This window comes from Homo sapiens, chromosome 9, assembly GCF_000001405.40.
Source record: "Homo sapiens chromosome 9, GRCh38.p14 Primary Assembly".
Taxonomy (NCBI): Eukaryota; Metazoa; Chordata; class Mammalia; order Primates; family Hominidae; genus Homo; species Homo sapiens.
This window is the reverse complement of record NC_000009.12, coordinates 64,369,166-64,395,047: the sequence shown is the minus strand read 5'-3', so window position 1 is coordinate 64,395,047 and position 25,882 is coordinate 64,369,166. Positions and strand designations below refer to the sequence as shown.

General features: G+C 37.6%; 1 long non-coding RNA gene and 1 pseudogene across 1 annotated transcript in view; both read right to left on the bottom strand.

Annotated features, from left to right (window-relative positions):
* The window catches only part of ANKRD20A4-ANKRD20A20P (ANKRD20A4-ANKRD20A20P readthrough), a 99,849-nt gene extending 74,195 nt beyond the window's left edge, over positions 1–25,654 (bottom strand). Inside the window, exons 1-9 of the long non-coding RNA NR_146419.1 lie at positions 25,171–25,654; positions 21,747–21,861; positions 21,411–21,584; positions 17,421–17,527; positions 16,237–16,374; positions 13,589–13,644; positions 7,014–7,044; positions 4,262–4,331; positions 226–307 (exon numbers count right to left, since the gene is read on the bottom strand). This is a non-coding gene — a long non-coding RNA (ANKRD20A4-ANKRD20A20P readthrough). The remainder of the gene's footprint in view (positions 1–225; positions 308–4,261; positions 4,332–7,013; positions 7,045–13,588; positions 13,645–16,236; positions 16,375–17,420; positions 17,528–21,410; positions 21,585–21,746; positions 21,862–25,170) is intronic.
* RNU6-1193P (RNA, U6 small nuclear 1193, pseudogene) lies at positions 14,748–14,854 on the bottom strand (annotated as a pseudogene).
* Positions 25,655–25,882: the final 228 nt, after the last annotated feature.

Below are 25,882 nucleotides of genomic sequence, written 5' to 3'. Positions count from 1 at the left end.
GCCTCAGCCTCCTGAGTAGCTGGGACTACAGGTGCCCACAACAACACCTGGCTAGTTTTTTGTATTTTTAGTAGAGATGGGGTTTCACCATGTTATCCAGGATGGTCTGGATCTCCTGACCTCGTGATCCGCCCGCCTCGGCCTCCCAAAGTGCTGGGATTACAGGCGTGAGCCACCGCACCCGGCCTCCATCAAAAGACTTTTTAAATAAAATACGGTTCTCACCTTCTCCTTGTCCATTGACTATTCTGTTTCCTTTTTCATGCGAAGATCCAGGTAAAGGCTCTGACACTTTCTCGGGGACACACTGCTAAGGTAATATCAAGAATTAGTTTCCATTTTAAAATTATAATGAGTTGCATCAAGAGTTTCTTATCAATCTCTTTTTATGAAACTGGGTCTCACTCTGTCAACCCAGGGCTAGAATGCAGGGGCCTGATTATGGCTCACTGTTGTCTCAAACTCCTGACCTCAAGCAATCTTCCCACCTCAACTTCCTGAATAGCTGGAACTACAGGTGCGTCCCTTCATGCCATGCTAATGTTTTTATTGTTATCTTTGCAGAGACAAGGCCTCATTATACTGCCCAGGCTGGTCTCAAACTCCTGGGCTCAAGTAAATCTTCCACTTCTGCCCCCCAAAGTGTTGAGATAAGCAGTGTGCACCACCACACCCAGCCCTAATCAATTTCTTTAAATCAATCTCAATGTTGCCCAGGCATGGTGGCTCACACCTGTAATCTCAGCCCTTTGCAAGGCCAAGGTGGGTGGATTGCTTGAGTTCAGGAGTTTGAGACCAGCCTGGGCAACATAATGAGAACACATCTCTACTCAAAAAATACCAAAAGGAGTCAGGCATGATGGTGTGCGCCTGTAGTCCCAGCTGCTTGGGAAGCTGATGTGGGAGGATCACTTGAGCCTGAGAGGTGGATACTGCAGTGAGCCAAGATCATGCCACTACACTGCAGCATGGGCAACAGAGCAAGACCCTGACTCCCCAAAAATTTCAATTTAAAATATGAGAATGAAGAGAGATACAAACAAAAAACAAGCCTAATTGGTCAATGAAATATGAGCTTAAGCCAAGAAAGAAAAGAAACAACATGAAGTACAATAAAGTACATGGGGAAATAGATCTATAACAGAGCCTTTTGCTCTTTCATATCCCTGATAATACTAATTAATATTTATGCTACAATTAGTTTTTTGTAAGTACTTCTGTGATACAGTTTATTACTATAAGACATTCAATTAGCTAAATATGGTCATCGACCACTACCTGAAAGAACATTATTATAACACAGAGAGAAAACTAGAACTTTCAATCAACTTTCCACCCAGAAAAAAATTGGTCACCAGAATTCTAAAGAGTAACGTATGGCAGACACATGAAAAAATGCTCATCATCACTGGCCATCAGAGAAATGCAAATCAAAACCACAATGAGATACCATCTCACACCAGTTACAATGACGATCATTAAAAAGTCAGGAACCCACAGGTGCTGGAGAGGATGTGGAGAAATAGGAGTACTTTTACACTGTTGGTGGGACTGTAAACTAGTTCATCCTTTGAGGAAGACAGTATGGTGATTCCTCAAGGATCTAGAACTAGAAATACCATTTGACCCAGCCATCCCATTACTGGGTATATACCCAAAGGATTATAAGTCATGCTGCTATAAAGACACATGCACACGTATGTTTATTGCGGCACTATTTACAATAGCAAAGACTTGGAACCAACCCAAATGTCCATCAATGATAGACTGGATTAAGACAATGTGGCACATATACACCATGGAATACTATGCAGCCATAAAAAAGGATGAGTTCATGTCCTTTGTAGGGACATGGATGAAGCTGGAAACCATCATTCTGAGCAAACTATCGCAAGGACAAAAAACCAAACACTGCATGTTCTCACTCATAGGTGGAAATTGAACAATGAGAACACTTGGACACAGGATGGGGAACATCACACACTGGGGCCTGTCGTGGGGCGGACAAGGGGGGAGGGATAGCATTAGGAGATATACCTAATGTAAATGATGAGTTAATGGGTGCAGCACACCAACATGGCACGTGTATACACATGTAACAAACCCACACATTGTGCACATGTACCCTAGAACTTACAGTATAAGAATAATAAAGAGTAATGTATGGCTTGAAAACATATATTTAATAGAACATGAGTTAGAGCTAATAAAAAGCTTAAGAAATGTTAATCTAAAATCTCAATGTTAAGATTCCAGTTGAATGATACTAGAAAATATATTGTAACCCTATTTGCTACTGATGACCTATTTCTATTTTATTTCCTTTTTAATTATGGCATAATTTCTCAACATAACATATCAAAACTTATACACCCTTAAATATTAAAAAATACAATGTAAGCAATATTTTAAATACAATATTTAATTATTAGATACATTAGGTTTATTATATTACTTATAACATTCCATTATATAAAAATTCATTTGTCTATTTATTCAGATTAAACAACTATTAAGGCTGAATGTCTTATGCCTGTAACCCAGCACTTTGAGAGGCTGAGGCAGGCAGAACACTTGAGCCCAACAGTTAAAGACCAGCCTGGGCAACAAGGCAAAACCCTGTCTCTACAAAACTCAGCTGAGCATGGTGACACAGGTCTATGGTGACATAGCTCTATTGTTTAAACTACTTGGATGGCTGAGGTGTGAGGATCACCTGAGCCCAGGAAATGGAGATTGGAGTGAGCCAAGATCTCACCAGTGCCCTCCAGCCTGGGGGACAGAGTGAAACCCCATCTCAAAAAACAACAACTAGAATGCTTCTTACATGGAAGACTGTATTCTAGGTACTCCAGGATACACACAAATATGTTTACTGACCTCCAGTAGCTTACGGTATGCAGGAGCTTCCAATGATTATTTAAACAACTAAATAGAAAACCTTCTGAAATTCAAAATTTCAGAATATGATATGAGGACTTTGAGTGGCTATTTTATTTTTTAAGATGTAGTCTTGCTCTGTCACCCAGGCTGGAGTGCAATGGTGCGATCTTGGCTCACTGCAACCTCCGCCTCCCGGGTTCAAGCGATTCTCCCACCTTGGCCTCCTGAGCAGCTGGGATTACAGGCATGCACCATCACGCCTGGTTAATTTTTCTGCTTTTGTTTTGTTTTGTTTTGTTTTGTTTTGGTTTTGGTTTTTTTTAGAGACAGGGTTTCACCACGTTGGCCAGGCTGATCTTGAACTCCTGACCTCAGGTGATCTACCGACCTCGGCCTCCAAAACTGCTGGGATTACAGGTGAGTCTCCACGCCTGGTGAAGTAAATATTTTAAATAAACTACAATGACAAAATTATGATGATAAAGTCTTACCATCCATTGGTATTAAGAGTCTCTGCTTCTAGAACTGGTTATTTGCAGCAAAATACATGTTATTCAATTAGATGAAGTGCCTTATATAAACTCTTCATGGACAACTCATAAACCACACAAAAATTCCTTTGCAATACACATTTTGAGAACATAAATTTAAATTTCTATATTTCCACAATTTATATTTTTAAATCAGATACGATGTTGCCCAGGCTGTTCTCAAACTCCTGGGTTCAAGCAATCTTCCTGCCTCAAATTCCCAAGTAGCAGGGACTACAGGTGTACACCACCACACTCAGTTATTTTTCTACAATTTTTATTTTTTTTGTCTCACTACAGAACCAATAATATAAGTAGAAAAACAATCTCTCGTAAAAACAATATGATACCAAAATAATAAGTTTCCAAGAACAAAAGCTATATGCTATGTGCTGAATATTCTTGCCACTAAAAATCACCAGGAGGATCCCATGATTACTGCAAATAATTTGATCCACTGAAGATTTATACAGGCATAAATATTAAGAAAGTCACACTCGTATGATTTAAAAGTCAAAGTATTAGTATTTATCCAAATAAACCTTAAGCAAATTTCATATTTCCTCTATTGGAGAAAGCATTTCCTAATGTGATTTTCCTGTCACTACTAATTTTCCAGTTCATTTTTTTTCAGCTCCCACCCTGTCACAGTACTTATCAATCTTTGTTAGTTACCAAAGTTAAACACATTTTTTGAATCAACTAGCCATATGTATGTTTTTCTCTGACCAACTTTCCATTACCACCATAAAACAATGATAGGTAAACCACTGCTAAATTTGAAAAGTAAATACTACGCAAAAGTACATTCAGAGTGAGAAAATTAATTTTACAAGAGACCACTTTACCTTAGTAGCAACATTCAAGTCTTTGTCATCCGATGCAGGCAATGAATCCACACGCAGTTCATGGAAAATGCTTGAGAGCAAAAACACACAACGAAAATGAGCAAGTTGATTTCTTTACAATTTTTTTAACTGCCAGTTTATATCCAGCTTCCCCCTCAAAAAAAGAAACCATAATCTAGGGAAAGGTCAGCAATCTATATATTAGTGATTCTTGATATAATTAAAATATGTCCTCTTCTAAAAATAGATTTTAGTTACCTATTTCTGCCTCCACTTGTCTAAATCTATAAAATATTCAATGAAAACTAACCTTGAGCTTTATAACAAATAGTGACAGTCAATAAATTGGCAGAGCCTGACAATGATTTGCCCTCACAAATTATCTGTCCTGAAGCTGAACTTAAAATTCAATTAATGGATGACATAAATTTTGTTACCTAAACTGGAAGAAAACTAATAACCTAAAACAAGGTAGAAAGATCCACTGTCTCTTTTCCATGATCTGTCTCTGGATAAAAGACTAATCTGCATCACTTCAATATGACAGTCTTGATTCCTCAGCATGGAACCCACTTAGGAAGGTCCTATTGCTTTCCTTTGCCCTAAATCAGTACAGGAAAGCCCCTACAATATTTGAAATGTATGAAAGCTAAATGTACAGAAGTCAAATAACAAAGGTGTATGTTCTTATTGAGAATACTTTTCCCAGAAAGATTGAAATATTAACAATTATAAAATCCCATTATTTTCAACCTATAGGTCCTACCTTATTCAGGTCCACATAAACTAGCAAGCCCTTAAAACTTTTCATAGGCACTCAGACACCCAAGGAGAGAGACTGTCAGAAAAAAACAGAGTCCTGGTAGGTGTACCTCTATTTCCCTAAGTACTCTCTAAGTATCTGTCTTCCTATGGGCTCCCACTTCCAGATTCCACTTCTGCAGGGCTCCACAGAAGTCTCCAATCTTTAAATCTTCAGTCTATGAAAGCACAGATTCCTGAAAGGATGGCCTCAAATGACCAGGACTAGGAGCTCTCTATATCCCTGCTCCTGAAAAACAAGCTAACTGGAGTCTCCATCACCTGCCCCCAGCTAGACACACTACCAACTACCCAACTGAACTCCATGACTGATTTGCCAGCCAATCATGCCCCTGACCCAGCCCACATGGACATGGGAAGGACATCAGTGAATCGGGAAAAGAGGCAGAGGTGAGGAGACACCTGTACTGGGCCACAGATCTATGTAGTTCAGCAATCTCCAGCCCCTTAGTACTCCAGGGGCTCTAAGCCACCCCTTTCTAAGTCAGGATGGAAGCAGATGACACCACATTTCTATCTGCTGCAGACGCTCCTCCCAGTGTCTCAAAATGTTTTAGCATCTTTCAGTAAAAATCTTCAAGTTTGTCAGTCCTTGATTTAAAAAAAAGCAGCAAACTTTTTAGAGCTCCCTTGAACCTTCTATTTTAATGTGCCTTCGTAGATAATTCCCAACATCTTGTGTCCTTCATTTTTATAATTTATCTTTATCAAACTTGTCATAAACCCCAATATTTTGATCTCTTATAGAAGAGTCTGTACTCCTATCCAATCCAGTGTTGTTTATCTTCAAACTTGGACTTCCCCTGCTCATTCCATTCTTATCTACTTCCATTGGGTTCCCCGGCTAATTCCATTCTCATTCTACCCACAGACTCACTCCCGTTTGTATTATTAAAACACACGCCAATAGGATATAAAAAGAAGCAAGAGTACTGGGCTTTAACATGAGTTCAAATCTCATTTCTGCCAATTCCTATGTCTAAAAAAAAGCATCCTAAACTCTTTGAGCCTCACATTCTCTATCTAGAGAATCATTTGACCAGAATGTTCAACACAGGTAAAAATACTAGAAGGTATTTTAATTCATTCCAAGATTCCTTAAAATTCTGTAATTCTATGTCCTCTTGATTCTGTCTATAGAAAAACTTAGAATACATAGCCAGCAGAGTTTGAAAAAATAATAGAACAAAAGAAATACCAAGAAAAGCAGAGAAGAAAGTTTTAAAAAATGAAGGCAAGATTATAGAAAAGTCACGGAAAAAGCAACAAGACTAAAAAATGTATTATGGAAGTAAGCAGAAATACTTGCCTAAATGGAAAACCAAACTGGGAAGTCAAATAATTTGTCTCTAAGACTTGCCTAAACTTGCTTTTGTAAAACTTACACCCCTATGGCAAAGCTAAGTAAGATCTGCCCTAGAGCCTTTGATGGTAAAAATAAGATACTGGTTACCACTGAAATTGTCAAATTTATTAGGACAAACTCTTGGACTAACCACATTCTAATGATAAACTTAAATGAGAGTTCAAGGTATTTAAACTCTCATTAATTTAGACATTAATCAAATTAATCAATCTGACTAATCTGATTCAGACCTATACCTTGATCCAAGGGCTGCACAGATATCTGTCAATCTATGCTGAGGAGCAAGAGACAGGATTTGGAAGGCAGGCAGGCTGATGGTCAAACTGTAGGCCAGCTACTTTGTTAACTATGGGATCATGAGGCAATTAATCAGCTCTAATCCATAGTTGTTTATTTAATAAACAGTAGGTTATAGGAACACAGATGTTGTGATGGCTTTATGAGATGATATATGCATAGAACATATTAGGATGTCTAGCCCAGAATACAACACTCAACAGATACTCATTTCTTCCATCTATATTTTCTTAGTTAACATAATTTTTTAAATCTATAAAATCCTACCTGACTGCAGATTCATCAGAACTTCCAACATCTATTAAAGAAAAAGGTAAAATGCATTTTAAATCAATAACAAATGTACAGAATATTAAAAGCATAAGAATGCACAGTGATGCATCCCTCTAATCCAAACTACTTGGGAGGCTGAGGCAGGAGGATCACTTGAGGAGCCCAGAAGTTTGAGACCAGCTTGGGAAACATAGTAAGACTCTACCTTCATAAAAAAATTGTGCACACTTGTATGTATGCTTTAGATCCTGTTTGTTGTTGTTGTTGTTTTTGTTTTGGTTTGGTTTGGTTTTTTAAAGCATAAGACTGATGCTTTGTTACAAAGCATTCCTTTGGGAGCATGCCTGGGACCTTATTAGAATTAACATTCGTTATACATATTGGTAGGTAATTAATGCAGTAAGAACTCTTCCCTTTGTATTTATTAGATGCAAAGAAGAATAAATTTATTAAAATTTGGTATCTACAAGTGAACTGCAGTATGCAAGTCATCTTAGCCAAACCCTATGAGGTTGAGTAAAAATGGTATTGTTAGCAGAACAGGTGTGATGAGTCAACAGTGTCAAAGAGCATGATTTCTGGACCAAAATATGAGGCGCCATTAAAACAGAGTACACAGTAGTACCCCTTATCCACTATACGTGCAGAAAGACATACTTGACACATTTTTCTCTGCTGTCACACCACAGCAACAATCATCAACAAAGAAGGCTTCTGTGACCAAATGTGTGGAGGGTTTTTCCCCACCAACAAGCAAGCAATCATTCCTGCTGATGACACAATTCAATTCTCACACCTTATCTGCTGGTAACATCAGATTCAATTTAATTTATAAATTAAACTTTAGCATACATATGTATGTATAGGGAAAAACAGTTTGTGATTCAGTACTATTCATGGTTTCATGCATCCACTTGGGGGTCTTGGAATGTATCTCCCACAGTTAAGGGGGAGCTACTGCACTTATTTTGTTATAACACAACACAGCCTCTCTAGCTCTTCAGTTCAAACTGCTCAGTTTAGAATAAAACACCCTAACACCAGATGTCAGCAAAACATAGGAATCAGACCAGAAACAGGAATCCTTGCAAAGACTTTCCAGCCGCTAGTGGAAAAGAGCTCAAAAGAGATCAATGTATTACTCTGGCTACTACTCTTTGGGGAAGGTGCTGGGTGGTTTACTTAGTTGTAGCTATTTGCTCTGCCCTACATATAGCAAGGCCCAAATTCACCTGCCATTTTACCTCCCACAGAAAAACCACTGGAAAGATCACTCCTTTAAGAGCTTATACGCTAGGAACCACACCTCACATTCAGAGAAGCTGAAGAAACACCAGGGAGGTGTGGCAGGCTGCTGGACAGTACTATATGATGTGAAAAATATATAGAAAGAAAACCATCAATGCCCTTTTACTACCGGAATGTTCCAGTGCTTGCCCTTCTCCCTAGTAGGGGAAAAAAATTCTTTTTCACCTCACAGAAAGCAAAACTCTCTTGCTATCCCTCATGACAGAATCTAGTTGTAGGTGAGTCACATCATCATAATACAGGCTGTTGTCAACCTCATCCCTCAAAGGAAGAGGATCAGTGAGGAACCTATGTACTTACCTATAGCATTCACTGTCTGGTCTTATTTCCAACCGAAGGTAAGTATGAAAGACTTTGTGATTCCAGTTTTATAAAGTACAACCCCTTGCACTTGTCCCCTTCCATTGCTAGAGAATCTATCTGGACCCACCTCACAGAGCAAGATGCTCCAGTTTGTGCTGTGTGGTACAGCATGGTGTCCTTTTCCTCAACCCTTTCTATTATGTGCCACATATCTATACAAATCATGTTTTCTAAGTATGTAAAGCATATGTCATCAGAATATATCATTCTTTACAATGATAAAGAAGCAAAAGAAAAACAAAAGGACAAAGAACATCTTAAATGACTACATTCAACTGCCATGGAGCTTTAATTTTTTAACTATTCAAAAAGATATCCACTGTATTATTCCAACTATGTGACTCTTCTGAAAAAAGTAAAACTATGAAGACAGAGTAAACATCAATGGTTGCCACGAGTTACTAGGGAGAAAGGGAAAGATGAACAGGCATAGCACAGAGAATTTTTCGGGCTGTGAAACTGTTCTGTCGATAATATTACAGTAATAGATACATGTCATGTCATTATACACTTGTCCAAATTCACAGAACGTACAGCATCAAGAGTGAAGCCTGATGTAAACTATGAACTTTGAATGATTATAATGTGTCAATGTAAGTTCATCAGTTGTAACAAATGTACCACTCTCTGGTGGAAAATAGTAATAATGGGGGAGGCTATGCATGTGTGGGAGGCATGGGATATATGAGAAATCTCTGTACCTTCCTCTCAATTTTGCTGTGAACCTAAAACTGCTCTAAGAAATAAGGTTATTGATTTAAAAAAAGATATTCAGCTGGGCTCAGTGGCTCATGCCTGTCATCTCAGCACTTTGGGAGGCAAAGATGGGTGGATCACCTGAGGTCAGGAGTTCAAGACCGGCCTGGCCAACATGGCAAAACCTCGTCTCTAATAAAAATACAAAAATTAGCTGGGCATGGTGGCTGGCACCTGTAATTTCAGCTACTCAGGAGGCTGAGGCAGGAGAATCGCTTGAGCCTAGAAGGTGGAGGTTGCAGTTAACTGAGATCGCACCACTGCACTGCAGCCTGGGAGACAGAGTGAGACTCCATCTCAAAAAACAAAAAGATATTCACTGTCTATGCATCCCAGGATCTCCAGAACAATTACAATAAATAAATAAATAAATAAATAAATAAATAAATGGCTGGGGGCAGTGGCTCATGCCTGTAATCCCAGCACTTTGAGAGGCCGAGGTAGGTGGATCACCTGAGGTCAGGAGTTCGAGACCAGCCTGACTAACATGGTGAAACCCCATCTCTACTAAATACAAAAAATTAGCCAGGCATGATTGTGCATGCCTGTAGTTCCAGGTACCTAGGAGGCTGAGGCAGGAGAATCATTTGAAACTGGGAGGTGGAAGTTGCAATGAGCCAAGATTATGTCATTGTACTGCAGCCTGGGCAACAAGAGCAAAACTCCGTCTCAAAAAAATAAGTAAATAAAATAAAAAATAAAGATATTCACTGAACCTGTTACTATGATATATTTAAGCAAGACACGGTGACCCTAAAAATTAGAGATCATTGAAGACCAAAGTAACAACATGTGGTCATTACTTCTCAAATTGAACTATATAAAATATATAAAATAAATAAATTTAATTGCATGCTTAGATAAGAAAATATTGATAAAAATAATTGAATATTTTATCTTATTTCATAATTCTAAACAGGGATTTAACACAATATGAAAACTAGACTATTCATGTAATCAAAATAAAAGACAATTTTTATTCTAATGTTAACTCAGAAATTATTTTGCTTATTTAATTTAACAATTTTACTGAAAGGTTAATGAGATAAATAGGACAGATTATAATTACCTAACATTGCTATGGTAACTTATATACAAATAGCTGTTCATCACCAAAAGTCAAAAAAGTAACAAGCACTGCAACTTAAGATGGATCATACAACAGAAATTAGTACCAAGTTACCTTATCTTATAATATTATGTTATTAAAATGAAATTTTAAAACAACACCAAAAATTAAGTTGGGGTTACAAGTGTTGTGCAGAAAAGATTTCATATAGCAGGCAAGAGGCTGCCATCCTTAGAAAGGCCTGCATGCAAGGCTGGCCCTTGGCTGGTGTTTAGGAAATTGGAAATGGGAGGGTTTCCACCATTCCCTGAGAAGAGTGGCTCACTGTGTCTAAAGTGCTTATAGAAACAGTGTATTTACTCTAAACAGCTGCTTTCCTTGTAAGAGTCTGGAATTTGGGTACATGTGAGGGAGAGTAACCTCCATAGAAAAACTTGGGCACTTAGTCTCTAATGAAACTCTGGTACTGGTAGACATCACTGCACATATGTTGTCAAAATGTGAGCCTGGGAGAATTAAGCAGATCCCGGGAACTCCACAGGACAGAACTCCTGGAGGCTTGTGCCTTGTTTCCTCCAGAATTGACCACATGCACCTTTTTCCTCTACTAATTTTGCTTGTCCCCTTCCTTGTTATCAATTAAAGATCTGAGTATGACTATTTGTTGAGTCCTGTGAGTCCTTCTAATGAACCACCAAACCTGGGGTGGTCTTGGGAAACCTTGACACAAATTCATTGTGTAAGATTTGTATTAAGTTGATATGATACGTGTAACTGTAATCAGATGGTTATTTCACAGAATAACTTTACCTAATCTGTTTTTCTTTTCTTTTTTTGTCTTGATATTTGACTTGGAGATTCTTGTATTTCTATATCTATCCAATTGAATAAAGCCATAGAAGGAATAAATGAAAAAATAATGTCAGAAAATAATGTGAAATGAGCAGCAATCCTCTTTTATCTGAATAAAAAATAGAGAATCTGGGTGATTGACAATATGTTCTACAATATGAATGTTTCTAGAAAAAAAATGAAAAAGTGGTCAATTTTCTGCAACTCAACTGGGCTTCATTCCTTTTTATAATAATTTTGAAGGCCAGGTGCAGTGGCTCACACTTGTAAATCTGAGCATTTTGGGAGGTTGAGGCAGGAGGATCACTTGAGCCCGGAAGTTCCAGACCGGCCTCGGCAATATAGTGAGACCTCATCTATTAAACAAACAAACAAACAAAAATCCCTTAAAAAGAAAATTAGCCAAGTGTGGTAGTGCATGCCTGTAGTCCAAGCTACTTGGGAGGCTAAGGTGAAAGGATCATTTAAGGCCAGCAAGCAGAAGTTGCAGTGAGCCAAGATGGCACCACTGCACACCAGTACTGACAACAGAGGGAGACCCTGTATTAAAAATAAATAAACAAATAAATAATTGTGTATCAGGCCAGATGTAACCACACAAAACTGTAGTCCCAGCTACTCAGGAGGATGAAGTAGGAGGACTGCTTGAGCCCAGGAGTTCAAGGCTACAGTGAGCTATGATTGCACCAATGAATAGACACTGTATTCTAGCCTAGGCAACATAGAGAGACCCCATCTCCTATGATAATAATAATTGATTAATTGTGCATCATTCAAGTAAATTGTGTAACTGGAGAAAAACATATGACTATTGAATATACTATTATAGTCTACTACTGACCATAGAGTTCCTGTTTACTTGCTTCTAATCTTTTTCTTCATTTCTCATAAAACTGAAAACATGATTTAAACCCATTAAAGGCAGTTCATCACAAAACAAGTCAAAAAGTCAAAAGAATTGCATCCAAACAGTAGGATGCGTTATCCACCGCTCTCTGTGAACAGTTGGATTTGGTCATTAAGAATCAGCAGGACTTTTAACTTTGTGTCTGTGTGCACAGGTGTGTGCACATGTGCACGTGTGTATGTGTATGTATGTAAACTATGACAGATAAAATCATTTTGCTTGTGTACGAATATGTAATATAACTTGTGCTTCTCACAAAGGAATTGCTTTTCCGTCTCCTGTGCTCAGTAGCTGTCTTCAAAAAATAATCTCCTATTTGTATGGGTGCACACTGGTTCAGTTCTACAGTTCTTATTGCCATTTATTTATGGTACCAGAAAGGGATTGCTGAGTTCCTGGTTCTAAAGATAGTTACTTTCTTAGTGACACAAATCAATATGTAATACAGTTCACCCTTGAACAGCAAGGGTTTCAACTGCAGGGATTCACTTATATGCAGATTTTCTTCTGCCTCTGCAACAGAGAGACAGCAAGATCCACCTCTCCTCTTCCTCCTCAGCCTAATCAACCTGAAGATCATGAAGACCTTTGTCAGGACTACTTATGCTTTATGAAAAGTCAATATGTTTCTCCTGATGATTTCCTTTCTAACAGCTTCATTTCTCTAGCTTATTTTATTGTACGAACAGTATATAATAATGCAGCACAAACAAAATAGGTGTTCATCAACTGTTTATGTTATCAGGAAGGCTTCCAGTCAATTGTGGGCTATTAGTAGCTAAGGTGAAGGAATCAAAAGTTATACTCAGATTTTCAACTGCACAGGGATCAGAGTCCCTCACCCCCACATTATTCATGGGTCAACTGTAGTTATTTGTTTACTAAATATAAACAATTTATTATAAAAATGAAATTGAAGATCCATTTGTATAACAAGTCCAATTTGTTATAATGTGACTATAGAGGAAACATACAACATACTAACTTAAAAATCTTTTTTCTTATTTATGCAAAAATATTATATAGGATTTTAGGGATCATAATTAAATAAATGAATGTTTTCAGACAATAATGTTTGAGATTGTAAATTAGCTACAACTACCTTCTTAAATAAATCTGAATTTCAAACTAAAGAAGTTAAATTTTAAAAATTAATTTACATATGTATATACATATATACACATTCAATTTACACATATTTTTAAACTGGTCTTTTTTGACTGAAACTACCTTAATCTTACATCTTACTTTGTATTTTCTTATCAAGAGTAGGACCACCAAGACAAGTAAGAAATTCACAATCAGAAGTCTTACCTGATTTCTCCTTTTTAAGTATCTTCTTTTTATGTTCCAAAATTTGTTGTTGAATTCTATGTATACAAAAGTAATAAATAAAATTGCCATTTTTATAATGAAATAAAAAATATTCACCAAACATATTAAATTCCAAAACACTTTCAAGCAATATCAGACCTAATCTCAGAATTTTAATGTCCCATACACTTCAAATTTGTAAACCTTACAAGCTTATTAAGCTTATAATTAAAGAAGAAAAGAAAGTGAAGTACTCATAAATGGAGGAAGCACAGCTCAGTAAATGAACTCTAGTTAGCTGGATATCATGCAAAGTGTCCTGCACTCAGAGTAAGTCCTTGCTCTGTAACCAAAATACCTCGCTCTGTAGGTATTTTGTCTTCAGACAAGTTGCTTCTCTTAGGCTCCATGGTTTCTTCTAAAAAACAAGGATTCTGCTACCTTACTTCACTAGGTTGTTTGGAAGATGTAATGAGATTACATGTTTATATGTTCAGAGAAATAGTAAAGCAATGGAATAATTTATTCTTGAACTTTATTGCTGAAACCATTTTGGAATCCCAAATAATGCTCGGTGTGTGTTTTTCTGTAAGTTCTAATACTCAAATGTTGCAGTTTTCAGAAAATGTTATTAAGTGCTAATTTTGGTTATTACTTGTATTCATTGTGGCTTGTAATTCAGGGCATTTTACCTAATTCATAACTTATTACTAAATTTCTATATATATAAATTTAGTGAGCTCATCACTGAGCTCATCAATCACACCAAGGGCAGAAAACTAATAGGTGTCAAAACCTGGCTTGGACAACTACCACTCCTTCTCTACCTCCTCAAACTCTGAGCCAGCAGATCTGTGCTTGGCTGCTGGATCTCCATGGTCCTCTCCAACTAACAGACAAGACAAAACCCTGCTTTGATTGTTTTTCAGTTCCATGAAGGAAATACAAGTTGACATTTTCTCATTTCCAAGACATGTACTAACAACATGTAACATCCCCTTATTACTCAGCTCTGTTCCCATTTCAGAGATCACCATACATCAATAGTTTCATAGCAATAATCACAATTTCAATATTGTGTGTCACCTGTTTTGGTTTTGCTCACACTGCTTCCTTGGAGCTACTCAACAAATAGTCAAATGGCCTTCCTGGGACTAGGCAAAATATGGAATGTTTTCTGAATTTGTGTGCCATCCCTAGGCAGTAGCCATGCTTATCTGCTCTGTATTGATCCAATTTTAAAATATGTGCTGTTGAAATAAGTACAAAGCCCTGTTTGATACATGGATATTCATGAGTCATGGATGAGGCTTAGCTCTATTAAATCCAACTCACTTACTTCAGATTCAGAGAATTTTATTGAATGGCTTCCTGTGAGGTAGAATTTTAAAATATATTGAAAACTTGAGGAAGAGCTGCAAGTAGCCCAGGAGATTTTCATGATTATAGAGACACATTACTTGAGGGGCCAACTGCAAGCTGGTTCCCACTACTCAGTGGAAAGATAACATGGAACATTCCGCTATCTAACCAAAGCTGCTGCACAGGATATAAAAAAGCCTCAAGGTACAGATCTGATAGCAAAAGAGACAGGGAACTCTGATCTCTTCCTGCAACATTATTTGAACATCCCTGACTATTGAGAACAATCCCAACTAATATTGGTTAAAGGAAAGACAAACATGGCTCTCAAAGGATAACATACCATGAAGGCCTAGGCAAAGTCTAGCTAAGACGTGGGCTCCAAATAAGGTTTTTAGTGTAGGGTGAGCATCAACTTGCTCAATATTTGTGTGGATAAAGCTAGGAGGCCTAGCTGCCAGAGCAGGGTGCTGGGAACAATGACTGAGCACAAGTACATAAACTAATAAACACCGTAGCTTTGACCTCTATATATGAATCACCATGAAAACTGAGGGGTCTGAATCAGTGAAGGCATCCTGGTGGCAAAGGTCAATCATTATCAGATTGCAGGACCGGTTATAATGGCAATAATACAGCAAGTGAGTCCATGGAAACAACAGAATGATTAGAATGGCCTTTTTTCCCCTTCTTCTGACTTGTAAAGAAAGATTGCCTTCCTTGGACTTAGGAAACCCCTTAGCTTCTTGGAAAATTCAAAGAAGGAAGACACAGGAGAGAGCCCCAGGGGACAATACAAGATTTTCTGTTAAACTGGACATTACAAGACTCAATAACTAATTAGAAAAGTCAGGCCAGGCATGGTGGCTAGCACTTTCAGAGGCCGAGGCAGGGGGATTACTTGACCTCAAAAGTTCAAGACCAGCCAGGGCAACAGAGTGAGACCTTGTCTCTACAAAAAAAAAAAAAAAAAAAGGAAAGGAAAGGAAAAGAAATCAAAGACATGGCTCTTTTTATCCCATGCATGGGGATTATACTTAGAATAAAATGAATAACATTGAGATCCCTAGGGATAAATGTCTCAAAAATCCAGAAAAAATCTCGCACTCTACTTCTAACTAATCTAGACTTCTGCTTGATTTCTGGCTAAAAGGTAGACTAACTCTTCGCTATTTCAAACTATCTGAACCAAACTATGAACTCTCACCTAATGTATAAGATGGAGTAGTTGCAATTATTTTAAACTTCAATTTAGCATTAACTGGCCTTTTAACATAAACACTTACTTTGTCAAATGATGAGAAATAGCATAATCTTCTGCATCTCGTCCACACATGTCTTGAGCGAAGACATCAATATTTTGCTTAAGAAGGATATTGACAATACCTGGTGAGTCATAGTATACAGCAAGCATGAGAGCTGACCTAAAACAACAAAGAAATAACTCCACTCAAGAACTTTAATAAAGACTTTTTTAAAAAGCTAGTTTGATACACTTTACCAGTTTAATATCCGCCTGTCAGTATAGATGTAATAACCATTTGCATGTACTAGCTTGGGTCTATAAGCATCTAGGGTGCTCAAGTGTTCATCTTTGTAAATTGTCACCAAGGCTAAAAGAAAGGGACAACAGGGAAGCCTCTTGTCCCACTGGGGTAAGACATAATACAAGTTGCTAACTTATAGTCCTTTGATGGCCAAGAAACTGTGCTGAGGTCACTTATCTAAAGTAGGCAAAGATTTAGATGAAGATTTCCCCGTTGCTTTCCTAGTCAAATCAGCTAGGGGTCAGATAAGAGTTATCTGCAGGCTGAAAACAACAACAACAACAACAATAATAATGACAATGCTAGTAGTCATAAACTAAAAGTCCACACTTTAAAAATGAATAAAACTTGTCAGGTGCAGTGTCTCATGCCTGTAATCCCAGCACTTTGGGAAGCCAAGGAGAGCAGATCACGAGGTCAAGAGATCAAGACCATCCTGGCCAACATGGTGAAATCCCATCTCTACTAAAAATACAAAAATTAGCTGGGCATGGTGGCGTGCACCTGTAGTCCCAGCTACTTGGGAGGCCGAGGCAGGAGAATCGCTTGAACCTGGGAGGTGGAGAATGCAGTGAGCTGAGATCACACCACTGCACTCCAGCCTGGCAACAGAGCAAGACTCCATCTCAAAAAAAAAAAAAATTAATAAAACTAATACAAAACCCTTTAGCTAATAAAAGATTACAGTACCAAAAACATCTGATTATAAATACCAAACTCTGTATATTATAAGAGAAGATGAATCCTACTATATACTATTCTTTATGTTACTCAGTCCAAATATTGGCTGGTCTACCTGATTATTCATGGTGATATTTTTCATTATATGCCAATAATTATGTTAATCTTCTTATTAATATTTCTGACTTGAGTGACCACTCTAGAATACTCAGGTTTTATTTTTAAAAAAAGAACTACTGTACCGTCTCAGCCTATCAACGGCATGTGAACTTGCTTTCTTTTTCAATAAAAATTCCACCATTTTCTCTTTCTTGCAAATTATAGCAAATAAAAGTGGGGTATTATTGTCCTATAAAACAGCAGAAAAAAATTAATAATTCACAAAATTACATATTTCTCAACTGAACTGAAAATCTTCTCTAGGATGCTTTGAACTTCAACATACAATACAGAAAGGAAGTAAATGAAAAGCAGTCCCTTCATTCTCACTCCTCTGTGCTTTCTGATATGCTGTGCTTTGCCTTGCAAACAACCCTCCTCTGTCTCCCCGGATTAACTGTGGTCATTGCCAAAACTCACTTTAAACATTTACTAGTCCCAAGAATCCTTGCTTTGATCACAGCACTTATCATGGTACATTGTAGTCATTTCACTGTTTCCCACTGAAACCAAGAGCTTCTTGAGGCAAGGGCCTAAAACCCTAAGACACAGTAGCAAATATTTTAAGTTTTTTACATTAATTAATGATCTAAATTACTATCTCTAAAGCAGTGTCTCTTAAACTATATTCCAAAGAATATTTGCTTTATCAGAAGTATTATACCGCAAGAGAAAGACTCCATGACCATCTGTATTTGAGAAGTATTACAAAACTGTATTTTATGTCCAATAATCAAGAAATCTCTTTAATTTCACCTAATCCCCTTTCACAATACTATTTGTGGCAAACATTAACATTTGAGGAATTAAGAGTTTCAGAGATACAGTTGCCAGAGCTTCCCAATACAGGTGGCAGTTCCCTCTGGGTGGTACAAACTTGCTTGATTCACTTCTATCAATGGTGTCAGGATCCCAGATGCCAATGTCAGGCACTCCTGCTCCAAATGGGTCACCATGGAAATGAGCTTTGAATTAAGACAGATTGGCTTCAAATGCATTTATTTTCCTTATTATTAAATAGTCCATGGGTTTTTCCCCTAATACAAGAGAAGAGATTTTTATCTTTACTGTTAGAAAGCTCAGTATATTCTGTGTAAGAGAGATAGGTTTAAAAAACTTAAGAGGAAATATTTTAAAAACCAAAACTCAGTAAGAAATACTATTCTCAATTATAATGGTAATCCCGGGACCCTAGTGCAGCTCTACTTTTTAAATCCATTTTTACTGGCTTCCACTTAAATGGCTACTTAAAATTATTTTTTATTTTAGACAAAATATAAATCGGAAATAAAAACATAATGGCTTATCAATAGAAGTTCTCATACTGATCCATATGGATTATTTCTGGCATAATACAAGCCAATAAGTCACTTGCATCCTTAAGGAAGAGCACTGAGGAGAAAGATGTACTGTCTGCAATATTCATAAATTATCCAACTATAACCAGGAATAACCTAAAAAGGCTTCTAGGCATTCTTATGGGCAGAGAATTATTTGTGGTATATATAAAGAAAAGAGTTAAAAACTTCTAAACTCTAAAATTCAACTCCATAACTGAGGGATTTATATACTCTATAGACTATATATTATAAACAAATACATGCTGACTTAAAAACCTTGAAATTTTTATCAAAATATACTATAACATAGGAGTTGTAAACTCAGATACTTACAAGGACAAAGGAAGGTTGCCTGAGTAAGGGAAGTACTAAGGTGGGCACAGTAGCAAACTGGAGAATACCTGCCTTCTATAAAGGGGCAACTTCTGCACAGCAGACCAAAGAATGATAGAAACTCAGGGGACACCAGATTTGACTTTTTAGGATATGCCTGAAGTCCACATTTCTTCACGAGTCTTCTAAATTTTACATGTTGATTCAACTTATAGAGGCAAACAAACAAATCTGTGTACCACATTAGAATATAGCCCTTGTTTTTTTTATATTCGCTATTAATGTGTTACTAAATGGTTGTGTATAATCCAAGTATTTGCATGTAAAATATTTTCTTTCTCTGGTATCATATGTTCTACCAAAAAATCAGGCTCTCATATATAATAAAAATTGCTAAAAAGACTCACAATACCTGCTTCAAGAATTTTTCCAACATGTATTCATTTAAAATATGTTTGTATATAATTTTCCCAGATTATTAACCAAATAGATAATTGGTTCACAAGACTGCTAAAACTAAATTATTAAAAGAATTCCTATCTATATTCTTATTAACTTCATGGATTTCAGTGTTTAAAACTGACATTTTGGGTATGCTAAAGTTCTATAAACTTAACAAACATACTGAGATAGTTCATAATAAAACTTCAACTAAAAAAAATAGTTTAGGATTTGCTATTCTAATTGAGAAAGCCAAACTTGTAATGAACATTTGTTGACACATAATCACCTGCGTGGTGACAAAGGGACATGAAATCATGAAAGGGTCAGCCTCTACCTATTGAAAGATTACTCATAAGCAAATTTCTGAAGACTCTCTGAATGGTAGTGAATGATTCATGGTGGGAAGCAAAACATGTTATTCTGTAAGCTGAGAGATATTGCCAATGATATTTCCTTTCACTTCCCAGTCACAGATGTAGAGAAAGACAGATAAGTCAGGCTAATATAATTGAAAAGGAGAACTCTGAAGGAAGTGGCAACTATCAAATGCCAACTCTTCTAGAGATTTCTTACATTTTTGAGATACAGAAATTTATATATTGCACTTATCTATTCTGGGGTTTTTAATCAAGAGTGTATCCCAACCTTGAAGGTTTTTTGTTTTTTTGTGGGTTTTTTTTTTTGGCTATTATTGTTGTTAGAGACAAGAGTCTCACTATGTTGCTCAAGCTGGATTCAAACTCTTAGGCTCAAGCTGGGACTACAGGAATACACCACTGTGCCCAGCTTCAAGAAAACATTTTTAAACACGTTCAGGCCTTAATAGGTCTATTACATCAAAATCTTCAGGGGAAAGCCTACAATTGTAGATTTTTAACAAAATGTCCTCAGGTCACTGTAATGCACAATTCTGAGAATCAGTGCAGCAGACAATCACTTCAGTCTCACCTCTCACCCACATGGCTAATTCCTTTATCAGTTGGAGATGTGGCCAAAAAGAGAAAAGAGTAAGAGATAGTGTCATTTATTAAAACTCCAGTTAAGTTTCCTGGCTATGGGTAGAACAGGGACAAGTAAACTCAAAATCCCACTTGATTTTGCTATTTACAAGCTCCTTATCTCCCACCTTCCCACTAAGACATTCTAGATTTGAGAGGAGGCTTTAGGTTCTTATCTAAGTGGCTGTTTCTGCCAGGATGAGCAATAAGTCAGTTAATAATTTGTTCCACCTTCTGCTGAAGTGTTTCTCACTTCGTCACCACATATTCACTGCCAATCTGGTTTCCTCAGAGTCCTCCTAAAATTCATCTCTAGGCAAGTTGCAATTCATTCTTTTTCAAACCAAAAATTATTAGACCCAAAGCTAAACAGCACCTTGTCTCAACACATAAAACAAACTTTAAAACAAAAAAAAAGTCTTCCTGGCATTTTCCCTCATTATCTAATATCCAAGTGACCTGCATATTTCTGATTGCTCTCTTTCTCCCCTCCCATTTTTCCCTCTTAAGCCTTGCCACTGAAAGATGATACATCAGTTTTTCAGAAAATTAGCAGCAACAGCAACATGTCCCTTTATTGTAAGTTGCTTTAGTTTTGTTTGAGTTTTAAGATAAAGCCTAATTCCGGGGAATATTTTCTTTCCTGTGTTGTTTTACATTAATTAAGAAAAAAAAAAAAAAAAAAGAATAAGCCTGTGTAGAAAAAAAGTTGAAAAGGTTTTACCTTTAACAAATTCACAAATATTTTCCAAAGTGCATTTTATAAAGCTGTGCCCTTTAATGCTTCTTTAAAAATATCAATATTTAAAATAAAATCTTAGACAATTAAGTTATTTCAAAATAACTTAATTTGTATTTGCATTCAGGGAATGGTTGAGCTTCCAAATATAAAAAATTGACCCTTACCTATGTCAATGTTAAAACAAATATTTTGGAAAGAAAGTTGATTGACCTATACCTTGTCCAGTGCTTCAATATGTGCACCATGGGAAAGCAGTTTTTCTGCCAGTGAGGTGCTCTCACTATACACGGCATAATGGAGAGCAGTGTTGCCGTAGATATCCTTAAGGTTTGGATTGGCGCCATGTTCCAGCAGAATAACGGCACAAGCCTCTTCCTGGCAATGGACAGCCTGTCCGTGTTAGACCAAGAAACAGACTGTAAATTCCAAGAATTCAAAATACACATTCCACAGGTTTCACCAACTAGTTATATGTAAATGAGATCAATTTATTTTAATTCTATATATGTAAATCAAATCCATGTCATGCTAAAAGAGTTGGCTCTAATATACCTGTATCAAAGGCGTTCTGTTTTCTTTGTCACAGACATCAATCTGGCATTTTCTGTTAACCAGGAGAGTGACCACTTGCACATGGCCACTGGCACAGGCCAAGTGTAGAGCAGTTCTATGAGAGTAAGAGGATTTTTTAAGAAACTGTAGTACAATATCTCAAAACATACAATCATTCATGTAATGTAAAAACTGAATAGCATGTTTTTCCTCTGCCTTCAAAACAAATAAATTTTTTGAAGAAAGTACAATACTTACTAGCTCTTATTGCTCACTGCCTTAATGAAAACAGCAGCCTATTTGAGTAGAAAGAGCTCAGTCTTTGGATTCGGTTCAACTAGGGCTTGAGTCCTACTTTAAGCCTTGACACTTACCAACTATTGCTTAGCCTTTCTGTACCTCAACTTCCTCATTAATAAAGATGACAATAGTAGCTATCTCATAGGACACCATCGTGATGCTTAAATGAGAAGCTATGTAAAGTATGTAGAACAGTTCCTACGACAACTCAATAATTGTAAGATTTTTGTTTTTTGAGACAAAGTCTCACTCTTTTGCCCAGGCTGGAGTGCAATGGTGTAACTATACCTGGAACTCCTGGGTCAAATGATCCTCCATCCCCAGCCTCCTGAGTAGCTGGGACTACAGATGAGCACCAGCATGCCCAGCTATTTATTTAAAAATTTTTGTAGAGTAAGAATCTCACTTTGTTGCCCAGGCTGGTCTCAAACTCCTGGCATCAAGCAATCCTCTCACCCCAGCCTCCCAAAGTTCTGGGATTACAGGTGTGAGCCACTGCACCCAGCCAGATATTATAATTATTACTATTACTACTACTTAACAAAACCATTTTAATTAGGTAGAATGATACAATTATACCTACTTTGCAAGATGACTTAACGAGTAGGTCACATTTTAACACCTCTGACATTGGAATGCCACTTATAATTCATGATTTGTTATAACTATAATTGGTAGCATTTTAAAAATTATCTTATTGATATATAAAATATCGGGGCATCACGCAATCCATGAGACCTTACATTAAGTAGAATATGGTATACTCAGCAGGTCTAGGGCAGTTCTAGGCATGTAACTGAAACTTAAATACATTTTAGTTCTTAAAGGTACTATGGGGAAAGAGCACTGAAATAACAATAATGCATTTTTTAAACAAATTAATTCTTTGATTTTCAAACAACTTGAAACCAAAGGAAACTCATGATTCAAATGAATACATATGGCTCATTGTATTCAATATTTATACTTAGAAAATATATGCAAATAAGACTTTCCAATGATTAATATTAGTATTTAAGACTGATAAACTTTCGAAAGAGCAGTTAAAGGTTATCTTCTACTATTTTCTAACTTCAGAAATGCTTTTGTTTGAAAGGTGGGAGATAAAGTTTCAAGGAGATTAAGTCCCAATATTCCTATTTTAAATCTCTCAGCTTGTGCAGGCAGGGCAGGTAAACATGAAGTGTTTAAGGATGGACGGGTCCTGAGAGATGATAGAATATGTCTGCTACATAGCAGGTACTCAGGTTATGCTTGATCCATAAATGGAATGAAAGAATGGATAAATACAGTTGGGGAGTTCATTATTTTTAAATAAACTCCTATAAAGCAATATTTTTGCAATAGTAATTATTTATATGTGTTGTTTTATTTTTAAAGAACACAATTAAAATGAAATGATTATGTTTGCATAAATGGAATGAGTATATAAGCAAAACATATGTACATAATAAAATATATAGATAATAAAATCTGGAAACAGATAAAAACATTCCTTTTTTACTTCTGAAGAGGCTAAAAGCTCAAAGAAGATAACAACACACACAATAATGACAAAAAATAGAAAGTGAGAAATTATTTTCATCAGCGCAAGATTCATATTCCTCTCTTCCCAAGGATTAGTCCATTAATAATAAACTTTTACTAGAAGTTTTGTACTCACTGCAGCAATCACAGATAAGAAAAAGGAAAAAAACTTTACTTAAAATACAAATGCTCAGAAATTACAAATTTTATATTTTGTACATATTTTTGCTAAAACAAGACCATAGTATGTTTGTGTATGTATAATTTAACTAATTTTTTCTCCTTGCTAGCTATAACAAAATACATCTTTGCACATCAACGTACTTCTGTATCTACTGCCACCTTCAGTGGTCACATATTATTCCATCCTATGGATGCAACTGAAATTTATTTATAGGATCCATTCTATGGGTTCTCTTTAAAGTAAGTACTGTGAAAAATAAAGTGCATGTATCTTTATTTCCTAAGGGTATTTTAGTATAATGGAATTGGTGGGTAAAGGGCATACACATTTTTTAAATGTAGTACTTACCATTTTCAAATGAGTACTTTGAAAAGTAATCAGCAACTTTAAGCAGCAGTATAAAACATCCTCACAAATATTGTGGATAGAAAACTGTTTCATTCCTCTTTTAGTTTAAATTCTTATACCAGAAATGCGAAGGATTTTTTCCTATGTATATAAGTAACTTGTAGATCTGGAAAAAGGTACTTTGCCCACTTTTAGAGTGTTTGATGATTTGATTTGAAAGAATTTCCTGTAAAATGAAGAGGTACTTTTCATCTAATGTGTATATATAACTGATATATATAACATATTATATGTGTTATATATGTATACATATCAGTAATATATATATATCTTATGATATATAATAAACAACATAGGCCAGGCGCGGTGGCTCACACCTGTAATCCCAGCGCTTTGGGAGGCGGAGGCGGGCAGATGACTTGAGGTCAGGAGTTCGAGACCAGCCTGGCCAACGTGGTGAAACTATACAAAAATTAGCCAGGCATGCTGGCACCTGCCTGCAATCCCAGCTACTTGGGAGGCTGAGGTAGGAAAATTGCTTGAACCCGGCAGGCAGAGGTTGCAGTGAGCCAAGATTGTGCCATTGGACACCAGCCTGGGCAAAGAAGCGAGACTCCGACTCAAAAAAAAAAAAAAGAATATAATGAATTCCCTATAAAATGAAAACATACTTTTCATCTGAAAATATATATATATATATAATATAGTAAATATTTTTCAAGTAAGCTCTCTTATCTGAGAACTTTTCGCCCACTGAAACAACTCACGGTTATTTTTGATAGGGGAACAAGTACTCTCATTAGGCACCTCCTATAATGTATATAAACCATATTTTAAACGTGTACGTTAAAAATAACAACGCTGTATATGCTTAACTTTGTGAGTTAAATCACTCAAATTCTCCAACTGCTCCAGCCAGGGAATTATGAGGGATGGAAAACAGCTGAGAGTCCGTTTGGCTCCGCCGCTCCGAGGGTGCCCGGCGCCCTGCACGGCCCCGTCCCAGGGTCTGCGGGGAAGCCGGGCCTGGGGGCCCCCTCCCACCCCGGGCTGAGCCCCCGCTACCTGTGCTGCTTGTCCAGGGCGTCCAGTTCTCCGCTCCTGCGCGCCAAGCAGCGCTCCACCTCCGCGGCGTCGCCTTTGACAGCTGCCCTGTGGATCTTCTGCAGTTCGGAGTCCCGGATTCGGTATCCGGAACCCGTGTAGACGTGGTCTATGGAGCCCTGGGCCGTCTGGCCCCTGCGGCTCCCGAAGCCGAATAACTTCATATTGGTGACTTCTTCTCAGACCCCCAACCACCGGCTCTTGAGCGAGGGCAGCTCCCTGTCACCTTTTCACCACCCCCCTCCCCGACCCCGGCCGACCCAGCCCCAAATCCCCTATCCAACCCCAAAGCCCCGATCCAACCCCAACTCCGCTATTTCAAATCTATAATCTACTCCACAATCCGCGATCCAGCCCGGTCCACCACAGCCTTCAGCAGCGACACTCGCAGCCTCCGACCTCTCAGACCGAGTGAGCCTCGCAAAGCCGTTGGGCGCGCGCCTGCACGGCAGTTGCTGCCGGGCTCCCAGAAGACGCTCCCTGGCGGCGCGCGCCTGCACCGCGGTTGCTGCCGGGCTCCCGGAAGACGCTCCCTAGCGGCGCGCGCCAGCAGGTGGGGCTGCAGCTCTGGGCGTGCGCCGATGGGCTCGCCGGTTCTCCTGGGATCGCCCGGGCGGCCCCAGGATCGCAGGCGCGCAGCCAGCCCGGCCTGAGAAGGAGGGCCTGTCTGGCC